The sequence below is a fragment of the Homo sapiens genome, chromosome 1, assembly GCF_000001405.40.
Source record: "Homo sapiens chromosome 1, GRCh38.p14 Primary Assembly".
NCBI classification, from domain to species: Eukaryota; Metazoa; Chordata; class Mammalia; order Primates; family Hominidae; genus Homo; species Homo sapiens.
The window spans coordinates 51,749,672-51,765,277 of NC_000001.11; the positions used below are offsets into that span (position 1 = coordinate 51,749,672).

The following is a 15,606-nucleotide window of genomic DNA, read 5'->3' on the forward strand; positions in this document are numbered from 1 at the left end:
AATCAGATTCGTATGTCTTTCTGTTTGAAGTGTTGAAAAACCATTTAGAGCCAAGCACGGTGGCATGTGCATGTAGTGCCAGCTACTCGGGAGGCTGAGACGGGGATCGCTTGAGCCTCTGAGTTTGAGGCTGCAGTGTGCTATAATTGTGCCTGTGAATAGCCACTGCAATCCAGCGTGATCAGCATAGTGAGACCTTGTCTCTTAAAAAAAAAAAAAAAGAAAAAAAAATTAGATATTATTTAGTATAAATTAACAATTTGTGGCATTCGTTAAAATTCATAGAACTGCTAATGAATAACTTCATTTGGCATTATCAGCATACTAGAACCCACTAGATCCAAAGAGGATATTTCTTGTGTAGTATAGACTTAAACTCTATACATCTGAACTGATTTTTATATTTTAAGCTTTAACATTATATATCCATTTATTTGAGCCAAGATCCTAAAATCAGTGTTTTGTTTTTATAGAGCATGGTAGAATCAATTAAACACTGCATTGTGTTGCTGCAGATTGCCAAAGTAAGTAAATTTTACTTTCAATTACCTTTGTGTATGGAGTTCAAAAATTATAATGGCGTTTTTCTTTAATAGCAAAAAAACTCAGATCTGAAACATAGTACCTTTCTACATTAAACTGTATTGTGAGCTTATTCTATGGAACAACTGTTGTGTTTGGCTATTATCTTAGCTACTGTTTCTGGTAATGTCATTTCTGGTAGCTGGGAAGGAGGGGAGCATGTTTGAATGACTCATCCCTTCCTTCCATTTTATCCATTATCACTGCTTAGAACAGGGACATATTTTACAAAACCTTCCACAAAAAAAGTTTTTCTTAGAAAATAGAGAAGTAAGTTCTGACAGTTATTGTCCATAATGAAGAATATAATAGAGATATATTTTTTAAATTTTTACGGATTTTTTTCTGGTAGTGAACTACGTTAGTGGATTTTAATTATTCTTCCTTATTCATGAAACAAAATATATTTTGAATTATTGTGGGTTAAAAATTTCATATATGTTGTCTCTTTTTCTGAAAAATTTTGGTGTATTCAACCTAAATATATATTTTATTGCCTGAGAGTTTCTGAAATAAGAATATTATTGTTTGAGAATAGGAATTTTTAAAACTATTTCTACCTCACTACACCCCTTTATTTCCAGCAAGTGGCTAGCAAGGGGTGGGTGACCAGCTCCACAGCCCAGTTGAGAAATGTTGTTTGAATGAGTTTATAATTACTCATCTCTTTTACTTCTTCAGTTGCATATGTTTGTTTGCCAAATCATAGAGACTTTTAACCTACTGTTGTTAATGACACAATAGCATAGGACAGTCCATTTGCATTTGGATAGTAAGGATATTTAGCTTATAAATTAAATGGGGCAATGTCATTTTCTTTTGAGGCCTGATTTAAAATATATTTTTTATTTTTTGAGACAGTCTCGCTCTGTTGCCCAGGCTGGAGTGCAGTGGCACAATCTCAGCTCACTGCAACCTCTGCCTCCTGGGTGCAACTGATTCTCGTGCCTCAGCCTCCTGAGTAGCGAGGTTACAGGCATGCACCACCACGCCTGGCTAATTCTTATATTTTTAGTAGAGATGGGGGTTTCACCATGTTACCCAGGCTGGTCTGAACTCCTGGCCTCCCAAAGTGCTGGGATTACAGGCGTGAGCTACCAAACCCAGCCCAATGTATTATACTTAAAGTGTCAGAACTTAGGGCTTATGTTCTGTTTCTAGATGTTAGTGATATCTAGATTTCCTATGTATGTGTCTAAATTTTTCATTTCCTGTTGTAGATCATAGTATATTCCAAAGCCAAGCAGAAGGAAAGATAGGATTGGAGGCACAAAAGAGATAAAGTTTTTATTTTAGTTTTTCTTGGCTCTGGAATTACATAGGTGAGTAGAAGCACCTATAGTTATCCAAAAGCTTACCTACAGATAACCAGTAAACCACACCATGCCCTGTTTGAGTGACTAGGTATTTTAGGGAATACATACTGCCTTCTATTGAAGATTGGGGAAGCAGAGGAGCTGATACAGTGTTTAAGCCAGTTTGGGTGATCTCTGAAAATCATTCAGGACTTTAGATAGTTGTACAGTAGGTCAGCCTAGCCTATTTCAGTAGCTCACTGTTTAGCCACTCATCGAGAACATTTTTAGTGTAATTTGTACTTGCTACCTGTCTGTGTTAGCCCAGCTTAATAAAACTACGTTTTAGGGTTCTTCGCAATGGATAACTTGGATCACGTAAATGAAATTTGGCCTTTTATTTATTCCAGAAGGAAGTTTTATTGTTGTTAAGTCTTCTTATGTACAAATACAATCCTCAATTATATTTGTACTGTATATGGACTCTGTATCTTTAAACTTAATTTAAATGTAAATGAGACCGTGTCACTTGCCTGCTCAAATACCCCTGATGTTTTCCATCTCATTTGGAATGAAATAGAAACTACTTACGTTCACTGCCCTCTTACCTGTCTCCTACCCTTGCTTGGTCACACCATTCCAGTAACATTGGCTCATTTCTTTTTCTCAGGCAAGACAAGCTTCCCCCCTCCACCCCCGCCCCCGGCTTTAGGGATTTTTACTTGCTGTTCCCTCCACGTGGAGGGCATTTACCACAGATTGCCACTAGGCTCACTCTCTCACTTTATTCATATTTCTGCCACAAGGAACATCTTTGGAAAGACTTTTCCTGACTCCTGTATCTAAAATAGCCTATACCTCCCACTGGTTTCTTTTTCTTCGTGGCCTCGTATCACTAGTCAAGTTTACACGATATATTTGTTTGTTTATCTCTTTATTGACTGTCTACCCTAGAGTACAATCTTGGTGAGGAATTTGCTCGTCTTACCACTTGTATTAGTCTGCATGGGCTGCCATAACAAAATACCATAGACTGGGTGGCTTAAAGAACAGAAGTTTATTTTCTCACCGTTCTGGAAGCCAGAAGTCCAAGATCAACATTCTGGCCTGTTCAGTTTCTGATGAGGGTCCTTCTCTTGGCCTGTAGATAGCCATGTCTTCACATAGTCTTTCCTTGGTGAGTATGCACAGAGAGAGGGAGCGTGCACGTGTGAGATAGCAAGCTGTTTGGTTTCTCTTCTTACAAGGACACTAATCTTATTGAATCAGGGCCCCACCCTTATGATCCCATTTAACCTTAGTTACTTCTGTAGAGGTCTCATCTCCAAATATAGCCACCTTTGGGGTTAGGGCTTCAACACAGGAATTTGGGGAGGGACACAAACATTCAGTCCATAACCCCATTGTATCCTCAGTGCCTACAGTTGCTTACCATATAGGAGGTGCCTGATAAATAACTGAATTACTGAGTGATTTTTCTAATGCATTACTTTTAATGGTTGCATGGTTTAGTATTTTCACTATATGTATGATTTTTTTTACTTAGCCACCTCTCTGATGTGCTGTGATGACCATCCCTATAAACTAATCTTTAGGTAAATTTAATCAGTTAATCTATGATTAAGATAAAAGATTTTAAAATAATAACAACAGTCAACTTTGCATAGTCTTAAAGAGCGTGGATTATGGCCCCCAGACTGAGTTTGAATCCAAGCCCCACCACTGGAGCAAGTTTATTTATCCTTTCTGTGCTTTGGTTTATATTCCATATACAAGAGGGATAATAGTAATGTCTGTCTCTTACTGATGCTGTGAGACTAAATGATTATTTGTGATGCTCTTGGTAGCTGGCATGTAATAAGCTCTAAATAAGTGTTTATTAAATTTAAAAAAAGAAGGATGCAAATTTTAAAGTGACAGTAACACATCTGGTAAAAGTTGGAGAACTTCCATTGAGTACTGATGGAAATATAAATTGTTATAGCCACTTTGGCAGACTCTTATTCACTGGCAGGTTAATAAAATACCAGAATCAACTACTTTGAGGGAGATAATGCCATTTGAGACCCCACAGTGATATGAGAAGATAGCTAATTTGATACCTTTCTTGTTTGGGGCTGATTAGTATCAGCTTCTTAGAGGCGGCATGCTGTAAGTAAAAATTTTAATTTTAAGCTCCTTCCAGTTTTGATTCTTTGATTTGAATTCCTATTCCCAGTAGATTCTCTCCTGCCTAAATGATTAGTGTATTGGTTCCTAAACTTTACTGCATATTGGAGTCATTTGGAAATCAGTTCTGATTCCTGGCTCCCATCCCTAGACATTGTGTTATAATTCTGTTGTGTGGGGTATCACCTGGGTATTGGGATTATTTTAAACCCCCTGGGTGGTTTTAATGTGCAACAAAGTTTTGAGACCACCTGGTTAGTGGAATTTTCAAGTGGGCTTTGTTATCTCAGAAGACATCCCTCCCCTTACCCTTGGTGGAGACAGCTGATGTTCTTCTCCTGGGAGACTGCAGTGGAGCTGGGGAGTAAGGGGAGAGAAGGGGAGTAGGGCAGGACAGAGTGAAGATAAGCTAGGAGGCCCCTGCAGGTGGAGACTTAACCAGTATCACAGTCAGGTGATGTGACCACATACCACAACTCAGAATGCCTGTCAGAATGGCATGTGCCAGGGGGTTGACTGTGATTTACTAGAACACTATTTTTGCATTGTTTAATTATCACTGAAATTGGGAAAAAGGCTATGCTAGACATGCTTTGGTTTTGAGGTATAGTTGCTACAAACTTAAACTCTGGTTGATTTTCACCAGTTAAATCATGCGGTAAAACAGTATTTCAATACAATTAAAATCAGGCACTTTAAATGGTCATTCTTACAGGCAAAGATAGAGACTATTAACATTTTTCAAGGTAGACACAGATCAATTTGATTTATGTAGTTTTTATAGTCTTGCATAAAATAGATGCAAATAAATACTGTTGATTACTTAGAATTTGAGGCTTTAATTTTGTCAGTTCCTGTTGATTATCCTAAGTCTAGACCAGTGCTATACAATAAAAATATGAGAGCTATAAATGTATTTTAAAATTTTCTTATAACATTTCGAAAGGTAAAAAGAAACAAGTGAGATTAATTTTAATAATGTATGTTAGTAACCCAGTGTACCAAAAATATTATTTCAACATGTAATCAGTATAAAAATTTACTAATGAGATAGTTCATATTCTCCCTCTCTCTTCTTTCTTACTCTCTCTCTCATTTTTTAAGAGATAGTGTCTTGCTCTGTCACTCAGACTGGAGTGCAGTGTCACAATCATAAATAACTCACTGCAACGTCAAACTCCTGGGTTCAAGCAATCCTCCTGCCTCAGCCACCTGAGTAGCTGGGACTACAGGTACTCACCACTGTGCCTGACTAATTTTTAAATTTTTTGTAGAGACAGGGTCTTGCTTTGTTGCTTAGACTGGTCTCAAACTCTTGGCTTCAAGTGATTCTCCGTCCTCGGCCTTCCAAAATGCTGGCATTACAGGCATGACTCTTTCTCTTTTTGCACCAAGTCTTCAAAGTCATGGATGTTCTTTAAGCCACCCAGTCTATGGTATTTTGTTATGGCAGCCCAAGCAGATTAATACAAGTGGTAAGATGAGCAAAGTCCTCACCAAGATTGTACTCTAGGGTAGACGGCCAATAAAGAGATAAATAAACAAATGGTTTATTTCAATGGTTTTTGTTATATTTACAAAATTGTACAGCCATCACCATAATCTAATTTTAGCATACTTCTATCACCGCAAAAAGAAACCCTATACCTATTAAGCAAATATTTTCTATATAGATTTTCTATATAGATGGTCCCTGACTTAATAATGGTTTTACTTAGGATTCTTTGACTTCATGATGGCAGAAAAGTAATATGCGTTCAATAGAAACTGTACTTTGAATTTTGAGTTTTGGTTTTTTCCCAGGCTACTGGTAATGCTATATGATCTTCTCTCACTATACTGGGCAGTGGCAGCAAGCCACAGCTGCCAGTTCGCCACGCGATCACAAGGGTAGCCAGCTGAAACTCTGCACTGTGTACTGTGTTGCGAGATGGTTTTTGCCCAACTGTAGGCTAATGTAAGTGTTCTACAACACGTTTAAGGTAGGTTAGGATAAGCTATGCTGTTTGGTAGGTTAGATGAATTAAATGCATCTTTGACTTAACAATATTTTCAACTTAAGATGGGTTTATTGGGAGGTAAACTCCATTGTAAGTTGAGGAGCGTCAGTGCCTCCCTTTCTCTTCCAACAGCCTCCTACTCTTCACCCCATCCAGCCCTTGGCAACTATTAATCTACTTTCTCTCTCTAGATTTGTCTATTCTTGACTCTTCATGTAAGTTGAATCTTACAATATGTGGTCTTTTGTGACTAGCTTCTTTCACTTAACATCATGTTTTCAAAGGTTCATCCATGTAGAGATCACTTTTGCCTGGAATTTTGAATGTGACTACAGTTCTACAGGATATTTCCACGATGAACTTAGTTAAATCCCTATATAGAAAAATAATTGCCATGCTGTTGGTGTTGATTGTTGTGTAGCCAGAGTTAGAATTGTGTTTGGCTAAGAATGTACACATGGAATTAAAATCTTAGTGGAGGCAGATAAATCATGTTCTAACATTATTACTTACCTAGTAAATAAGCTTTCTTGTAGGAGAAATACACAAGGAGTTACTTACATGTAAGAATGAAGTTAATATTTTTAACATTTTTCCTTAAGGACCAGAGTAATGCGGAGAAGCACGCAGATGGAATGATAGTAAGTTTAATGTAATCTTTTTGTTTCCCTTTACTTCTGCAGAGCATTATAACCAGTCATATCAGGAGAAGCCTGAATTACTACTCATTTTTCAATGCCAACTACTCACTGCTTTTTGTTGTTGACTCTTGCAGTTTCCTTTAAGCTCCCTTCTTTCAGCAATCATTTGCAGGGGAAATGACAATCTTAAAATTTTTCTAAGTGTGGGTTCAGATTGAATCACTTTGCATGTATTAACTTGAAGGGTTAATCATGGTATGAATACTCAGCTTTTACAATTAAATAATGCATAACTCAGTGCCACATTTCTTGTCTAATTTCTATTTTTCTCAGATGAAAGTGGGGGTGGGGGAGTACAATATTGAAACACACCTTAATCTATTTGAATATATTTATAGGTTCCTATTATCTTTTATTTTTAGTTTTTGTGTATGTGTTAACCATCATTGTTAATGTGGTATGTACTGCATTTTTGTTGGAACAATTTACAACATGAATTCTTTCTCTTATAACCATCTTCTCACTCTTTCCTCTCTCTTATCTTTTTACCTTTCCTTTATATTCAACTTCCCCTCCAAAAAGAAAGAAGAAAATTGTATTGTTAGTATTTCCCAGATGGAAATAAAAGAGTTTGAAGGTTTGTGGTTTGTGCTTACCCTAGTTTTATGGTAACTGAGTGACCTTAGTCTGTATTCCTGAAGCAGGAGGCAGCTTTTTTGTTTGTCCTAGACTTTACAAATGCCAGCTTGTCTGAGATCTGGAAAAACATTCTGTAAATTTTCAAAAACATCTCCTGATTGTACTTGAAAGGATGAGCATGTTATCTTTATATTTGGTTTAAAAATTTTTTTTAAGTTAAATCTGTGTTTGCGTATTTCTTAAGAAAGCAGAAGTAAAATAAGCATGTTTGGAATTTGAATTAAATATATCAGAATTTTTGTCAGTTCAAAGTATGATCCATGGTGATATAATACAATTGTATGATATAAATGTAATACAAACTGAAATAATATCTCTTCATGAGATACTATCGAAGATTGTTAGCCTCATAGGAAAGGACTGTATGTATTGTCTAGCATTTTATGGTCTCCAAAGACTCCAAAGGAAAACCATGTTGGCTGTTATTTTTATCTCTTTTCCCTCAAAGCCAAATTAGTTATATTATGTTAAATAAAACAGGCAGGATTTTATAAAACATACCAAAAACACTTGATCATTTGCAATGAAAAACATCTAGAAAGTTTATACTCATAGAAAATTTAACCTAATAGAAAAATATCTTTGAATCATTTGCCCAGGGACTAGAGCATATTTTCCTTAAGAATTTTTATTTTGAAAAAATAGAGGAACTATTCATGGAATAGGCCTTAGAGGCAGGCTGCTTGGGTTCAAATAAAATAGCCCTGCCACTCACTACCTGTGACCTTGGCAAATTACTTAACCTTTCTGAGTCTTAATTTCTTTTCCTGTAAAGAAAGCTGAAATGTTCTACCTTAGAAGTTTGTTGTAAGGTACAGAACAAGCGCATAGTATTCAATGAATGTTAGCTATATGTACATGTATGTGTATGTGCAATACATTGTATTACGTGGGTTTCATTAATGTCAAAACAGATTAGGGCTGAGTAGTATTATTTTTGCTTCTCAAGTTCTGCACATTTATTTTTAAAGCAAGTTGTAGAATGTAATGTGACATATTTGAGCCTGAAGTTGGCTGACCAAGGACTGTGGATAAGTGTAGCATAGTTATTTTTTCTATCAAAAACAATAACAAAAAGATTGAGTACTTTTAATATACATGTTGTCAAAAGACAAAATTACAACAAATTTAATCATAGATCTAATTGGCTTTTATTCAAGATGCATGAATCGGATCAGCCTCCATTCTACAAAATAGAATGAGAGGTCTCACTGGGCAGTGGCAAAGCAGTGGGTTTTGTAAGGTGAGAACTGTAACAGGAAAAAATGCTGATTGGTTAACATCAGATTACTTTTCTTTTAAGGGTTAAAACAGTGAGCATTTCCGTATTACACTGATTCGGGTAGACTGGAATCTCCTATTTTCAGAAAAAAAAAAAAAAACCTGGTCTATTTTGGGATCCACTTGCTTCCTTAGAGTTTAATGATACGGCATTTAACAAGAGTGACTCCATTTTGGTTTGGTCTAATCTGTTGGGCCCTAGTACAAGAGCTCAGTCCAAAACAGTGGCCTCTCATAATTTTTGTTTAACAGTGCACAAAGTTTTTAAGTGTTTTCTTTGGTTGACCAGCCTAATTGTAAGAACGTTTCATCTGGAAAATAAAAGATTACATCCAAAAGAGAATTCTGGTCCCTTGTTCCAAAGTTATTTTATTTCTTATTCCCTTCAGTGGGAGGGGTAAGGAGGTGTGACATATTCTCACTGCTATATATCAAAGCGTTAATGGTGGAATTTTGTCTTTGTAAAGCATTTGGAGTTATTTTCGAGAAAAGCGCTGTGTAAACAAGGAATTTATTTTAAGAACAACTCCATGTTTGTTGAGATACTTGTTTAGTTATTATGGCTTGGTCTAGTATCTGAAAATAGAATCAAAGTAATAACCAGAAAACCCTTAGCACCCATGTAAATACAGACTTTTTATTTTGCAGACCGGGAAACTGAGGCCCATAGAGGATAAGAGACTTAAAGATTCTAAGCTATTAAAAACTCCAAGTCTCTGTTTCTTTGCTTTTCTCAGTGCTTCAAAACATTCCCCACTTCAGTTTCTTAGTTGTTTTTTTTTTTAATTATTACTGATTGTTTTGGGGGTGTTTTCTCTAAGTGTCCTTCATTTTTCAGTTAAAGTATTTGTGGCAGATAAACTATTTTAGTGACAAGAATCAGAATTCCTGTGTTCAAGTCACTTGATCGAAAAGACCTTATTTAATGAGTTTTAGATATTCATGCAGAAAGAGGGCTGGGTTTTTTTGGTTTTAAATTTTCTTTAACAGTCCTGAACACAGTGTATGTTTGTTTTTCACATGGCCTGGAAAAAAATTTTTAACTTAGATATTACGTGAGAATGCTACAAAAACTTTACCATTACCTCAGTTTCTATTATTAGGTGATTTTAAGTTTTTACAACTGCTTTTTTGGGCTTATTTATTGGCAAAGTATTTCCCTTATATTTCTGTTTTAGTATCTTCTGTTATAAGCACTACTTAATATATATGTGAAGTTCAGTTTTCCAGATCAATTAAAGGTAAAGAACTTACATTTTTATTTCTTGGGTTTGCCCAGTTTAGTCTTCTAAATGGTAAATGTAAACTTTGCTGTGGCAAAGACTTTGGTTTAACATGTACACACTCGCACCCCCCTGCTGCCCTATGGAGTTTTCTTTTTAAAATGCCTTCATGCTGTCAGAATAATTTCTTGACTTAGAATCAGAGAATCCTAGACTTTTCTCCCCTCTAAAATTAACTACATGTCTGAATTTTTCTCCCTCTCTTCTGAATCCTCAGAAAGCAAGCCCTCTTCTCTACACTCCCCAGTTAGAAGATGCATCTCTTTCTCTTTAGTGACCATAAAACTAGACACACAGTCAGCCTTCTGCATCTGTGGATTCAACCAACCATGGATTCAAAATATTTGAGGAAAAAAAAAGTACCTCTTTACTGAATATGTATATACTGTTTTCCTTGTCATGATTTCCTAAACAATACAGTATAATGGTGATTTATATAATATTTACATAATATTAGGTGTCATAAGTAATTTAGAGATGATTTAACTTATATGGGAGCGTATGTGTAGGTTGTATGCAAATACTACACGATATTTTATCAGGGACTTGAGTGTCTGTGGATTTTGGCATCCTCGGGGGGTGCTTGGAACCAGTCCCCCTGGATACCTGAGGAGTGACTGTACTGTGTGATAGCAGCAGTATGGGATGGAAAGATGAGATCCTAGTGGTGCAGGTACATCAGTTGGACATTTGGTGTAACTCACCAAAAGTGAAAAAAACAGAGAAACAATATTTGTGGTGAATTAAGAGATTGAGAAGCACCGAATTGAATTGAGAGGTGGTTTTGACTTCCTGAAATCTCCCCACACCATTTTATAACTCCTCAGTTTTTCCATTTAGCTTTACCTTCTTCTGTGACAGAGATTCATTCATTGTCTTTCCTTACTATGCTTTAAGCAACTCTTACACTTCTGTATAGAAAAGGTGTTTCATTCCCTCTTTTCATTTTGATCAACATATCTATATAGCTACCCTCAGGATTTTGAAGTCATAAATGTGGGCATTTGGGAGGGTAGCATGAGAAGAGCATTTAATTAAAAATAGCTATATTGTGTTTCTTTATTTTAGAGTACTATTAATCCCGTAGATGCAATATATCAACCTAGTCCTTTGGAACCTGTGATCAGCACAATGCCTTCCCAGACTGTGTTACCTCCAGGTAATTTGGGAAAATGTTTCTTAGATTCATTGATGAGAAAAAAATAATTTGTGTGGCTGTCATAGCAGTCTTAGCTATTACTGTTTATTTTTGATTTTCCTTGTTTTTAATAAAAGCACTCAAAAAATAATACAGCCAAAAGTGAACTGAAAAAAGATGATAATGTTTTGATATTGGGGCTTTACTGAAGTGTGATGAAAGTGGTTTTGTTATTCAAAGTGAGATAGAAAACAAACTTGGTTACTACGATTTGGATTCACTGGTAGAACAGGATTCTATGACTCAGAATTCATGGCTAGCGAGGAAAAATTACTATACCTTATTCTGGATAATCCAGGGATGTTCCGTTTTGGGGTATTCTGTGTAGCTCTGAACAATACAAATGGTATGTTCATGGTAGATTTTAAGATAATGAGAAAGTGAAGAGGGAAATTTATGATGCCTACTGATCACATGACATCTGGGTTTTGTTTTGTTTTTTTTTTTTTTGTATAAAGCAATACATGCAATTTTTTAAAAACTGGCAAAGAAGGGCTCAGGGCCAATACCTAGCTACACTGACTGATTCCTTTTGCCCTTTTGTTATATCCAACATTTCTATGTTCTCGATGGCATAGTGAAGTCAGAAATTGTACTGTAAAATGGAAAACTCTTTTTAAAAGTACTAGTAAGTATGTGAAATCCTTTTGTGAGTTTTTACTTCTTAAGTGAATTAGCTTAAACTACCTCTTGGGGCTAAAGAGGAACAGGTACTGTACTCCACTTCAGATTTTTTGTGGTTTGAGGCTCAGAAACACATTATCATCAGAAGCATTTGTTGGTTTTACAGCATAGTTATACTGCAGTATTGGCCTACTGTGGCTGGTTTTTTGATATCCTGCCTGGTATCTTAGTACTCTGTAGCCTATCATCATTGAGTTTAAGAGGCTAGGAAGTCAAAAGGAAGGAGTAGCATGGAACTAGACTTAATGAAATAAAGTTTCAAAAATTACTGGCCTTTAGGATTTTGAATCCCAGACAATTACAGTCAATAGAATGTGTGTTTGGCTGTTTCTGTACCTTATTTTATACGTTCAAATCTCCTAGAACCTGTTCAGTTGTGTAAGTCAGAGCAGCGTCCATCTTCCCTACCAGTTGGACCTGTGTTGGCTACCTTGGGACATCATCAGACTCCTACACCAAATAGTACAGGTACAGATTTGCATAATTTCTTTATGTCTCATAACTCTATTAACATTTGAGGTTTGTTTGTGACCTCTGATGAGGAGGGGGAAAGTTGAAGAAATGTGTTGTATATTTTCTGTTGGAGATATGTTAGTTTTAACATTATAGTTCCATACATGAAGTGGTTAGCTTTGTGTTTGAAAGAGAAGCTTTAGTTAAGTTTTATTTATTTTTAAGTTTTTAAAATTTTTATTTTTGAGACAGGGTCTCACTCTGTCATTCAGGCTGGAGTGCAGTGGTACGATCAGGGCTCACTGTAGTTTTGACCTCCCAGGCCTCAGGCTCCCAAGTAGCTGGGACCACAGGCACACACACCACACTTGGCTGATTTTTAATTTTTGTAGAGAGGAGTCTCCCTATGTTGCTCAGGCTGGTCTCAAACTCTTGGGCTCAAGCAGTCTTCCTGCCTCAGCCTCCCAGTGTGCTGGGATTATACAAGCATGAGGCACCATGCCTGGAATAATTTAAATAAAATAAAATATTACAGAGTTTTGTTTGTTTGTTACCTTAACATTTATTTGGTGATCTATGTTGACTTTTTGAAAAATTTACTCCAGCTAGACTTGCATACTTTCTTATTATGAAGCTGACACAGAAGTGCACAGAATAAAAACTGCAAGTCCTCTTTACTCTCCCCCCAGTAATTTGCATACATGTATGTGCATATACACTTATGTCGTGTATTTTTATTGTTTTTGTTTAAACCTAACTTAGGTTATGTGTTTCTGTGACTTGCGTTTTTCCTTTAACAAAGAACACTTAGAGCACTTTCCATGTTTGTAAAATTAGGTCTACAGCATTCTTTTTACAGCTGCCTGGGCAGGTATTGCTTGTTTTTTCCACTGATGGAAGCAATACTTCAGTGATATCCTTGTACAGCACCTTTGGCATATGTATATTTTTTTAGAAAACATTTATCAGTCTTTCACCTTTTTGCCAGTTTTATAGTTAGAAAAAAGATACTTCATTTTAATTTGCATTTTCTTTTTGTTTGTTTAAACGTTTTGTTTTTTGTTTTTGAGATGGAGTCTCACTCTGTTGCCCAGGCTGGAGTCCAGTGGCACTGTCTCGACTCACTGCACCCTCCACTTCCTGGGTTGAGGTGATTCTCCTGCCTCAGCCTCCTGAGTAGCTGGGATTAAAGATGTGCGCCACCACGCCCCACAAATTTTTGTATTTTTAGTAGAGACGGCATTTCACTATGTTGGCCAGGCTGGTCTCGAGCTTCTGACCTCAGGTGATCTGTCCACCTCCACCTCCCAAAGTGCTGGGATTACAGGTGTGAGCCACCGCGCCCAGCCTGCATTTTCTTAATTCGTTTAGGCTTAGGGTCTTTATTTTTTCTCTGTTTTACAGGGATACTATCAGTGTTAGATACTAGATTTATCTTGTTTTAAAATTAATTAAATGTATGTTGAATAACTTGTAGAACCAAACTCAAGGAAGCATCTAGCACTTTTCACACTGTTAAACCTGGAAACCAAAACCAAAACCACTCTTGAAGAAGTGGGAGATCAGCCCCTTTTGTTCATCCTCAGATTTTTTTCCCGGGTAGGATTTTTCCTGTGTAATGATGAATAATTACCCTGTGATTTAAAAAATTCGAATTAGTAAAAGTACTGATGCTATTACTTTGATCTTTACTATTTAACAGCATGGGCAGTTGCCTTTGAATTTTGAAAGAAAAAAAATAGCTCTCTTACTTGAAGCTCTTGGGAAAAGGCTGATAAGCAATTTGAATAATGAAATTGAAATATTTTGGCTGACTTCTGTATTTCCTGAGCTGTGTCACCTCTTCTTCATTTAAAAAATAGTACCTGTTTGTTGTTGTTCGTATTTTTATGTTGGAATTTTGAAACAACCAAAATTCCAAAATTTTTCTGTTTGGAAATACGTAAAACTAGCAACAGACTTTGAGAAAGTGAGAAGCTCTTCTTATGTATATTAATTTTTGTAAAAATTACTTCCAGAAGATAATCTTCTGAAAACTATTTCAGTTGAAGGTATTTCAAAAATCTAACACTTTAGAGTAGATTTAAAGAAAAATTTAAAATTAAATTCCTGTGATTTATATCTTATTTGATTTTTCATCCTAACTTCATTTTCTCCACTTTTCTTTCCCTTACTTCTCTTGTTAATACAAAAAAGAAATAAAGGAATAAGATAAAATGTTTGCTCTCCTAAGTAAATCTCAGATCTTTTGTTTGCAGTTCCCACTCAAACTTTTCTTCTTAGATACAGTTTCACTTGTGTGATCACCTGGAATATTTGCATGCTACTTAATCATTTGCAATTCTTGATCAATTTTTTTTTTATTCCAATAAGAAAAAGCTGCTTTTCTCTCTTACTTTTTCTGTTGGGTAATAAAAAGAATATGAAGTTATTTACTAATAAGGTGAGCTACCTTTGGAATTTCCAAAATAAGCATTACCTTTTAGGGGTTAAACTTTTTGTGTTATCTTTTTAAAATACCTTTGTGAATATGATGACTAAATGTGGCAAACTGATGTGCTTTTTTTCACAACTATTGAACCATACATATAGGAATGGGCAAAAAATCCGTAAGTGACTCTGGATTCTTTTTTTTTTTTTTTTGAGACAAGGTCTCACTCTGTTTACCCAGGCTGTAATGCAATGGCACAAACACAACTCACTGCAGCCTCGACCTCCTCAGATTAAGTGATCCTGCCCCAGCCTGTCGTGTAGCTGAGACCACAGGCACATGCCACCATGCCCAGCTAATTTATTTATCTATTTTTTTAAGAGATGGGGCTCTCACTTTGTTGCACAGGCTGGTCTTGAACTCCTGGCCTCAAGCAGTCCTCCCAACTGGTCCTCCCAAAGTGCTGGAATTACAGGCATGAGCCATTGTGCCTAGCCTGGATTCATTTTTATTGCTGTCTTCAATTTCTTCCAGAACTGTGGCCCTGGCTTTCAGATTGCCATCAGTGTCTTAATAAACTTTAGTCTTCACCAGACATCTGTAGATTAGTATAAATTGCCTGACTGACAGCCCTTAAATGCTCAGTAAGTTAAATTGATCTTAATACTCCATTTGTCGATTGGTTTGATACTTTTTTGTTCTTGCTTTACTAGTAGATAAGGTACCAGATGATCATCTCAGAGATTAGATGGCAGGCTTCTTTGTCTGGGTCTTCATTAATTTCCATTTCTTTAGTTAGACTATTTAGGAATAGAAAAATGTTCTTCTGAATCTTTTCATTTTCTGCATTCTTCTCATCGTAGTCCTCTATTTTTATCTCCACCTCTGAG

At 36.2% G+C, this 15,606-nt stretch overlaps 1 protein-coding gene across 16 annotated transcripts in view; it reads left to right on the forward strand.

The window, feature by feature from the left end:
• OSBPL9 (oxysterol binding protein like 9) overlaps positions 1-15,606 on the forward strand; it is a 270,948-nt gene that overhangs the window by 231,400 nt on the left and 23,942 nt on the right. For 7 of the 16 annotated variants that reach the window (NR_036662.2, NM_001416294.1, NM_001416293.1 and 4 more), the window contains 4 exons: positions 474-524; positions 6,649-6,687; positions 11,019-11,109; positions 12,196-12,300. Coding sequence is in view for 15 of the 16 variants with exons in the window: in NM_001416294.1 (NP_001403223.1) it covers positions 474-524; positions 6,649-6,687; positions 11,019-11,109; positions 12,196-12,300 (286 nt within the window). In the remaining variant the exon portion in view is untranslated. Of the gene's footprint in view, positions 1-473; positions 525-2,831; positions 3,055-6,648; positions 6,688-7,109; positions 7,145-11,018; positions 11,110-12,195; positions 12,301-15,606 lie in introns of all 16 variants that reach the window. The other 9 variants (NM_001416295.1, NM_148909.4, NM_148908.4 and 6 more) reach the window with 3 other exon arrangements.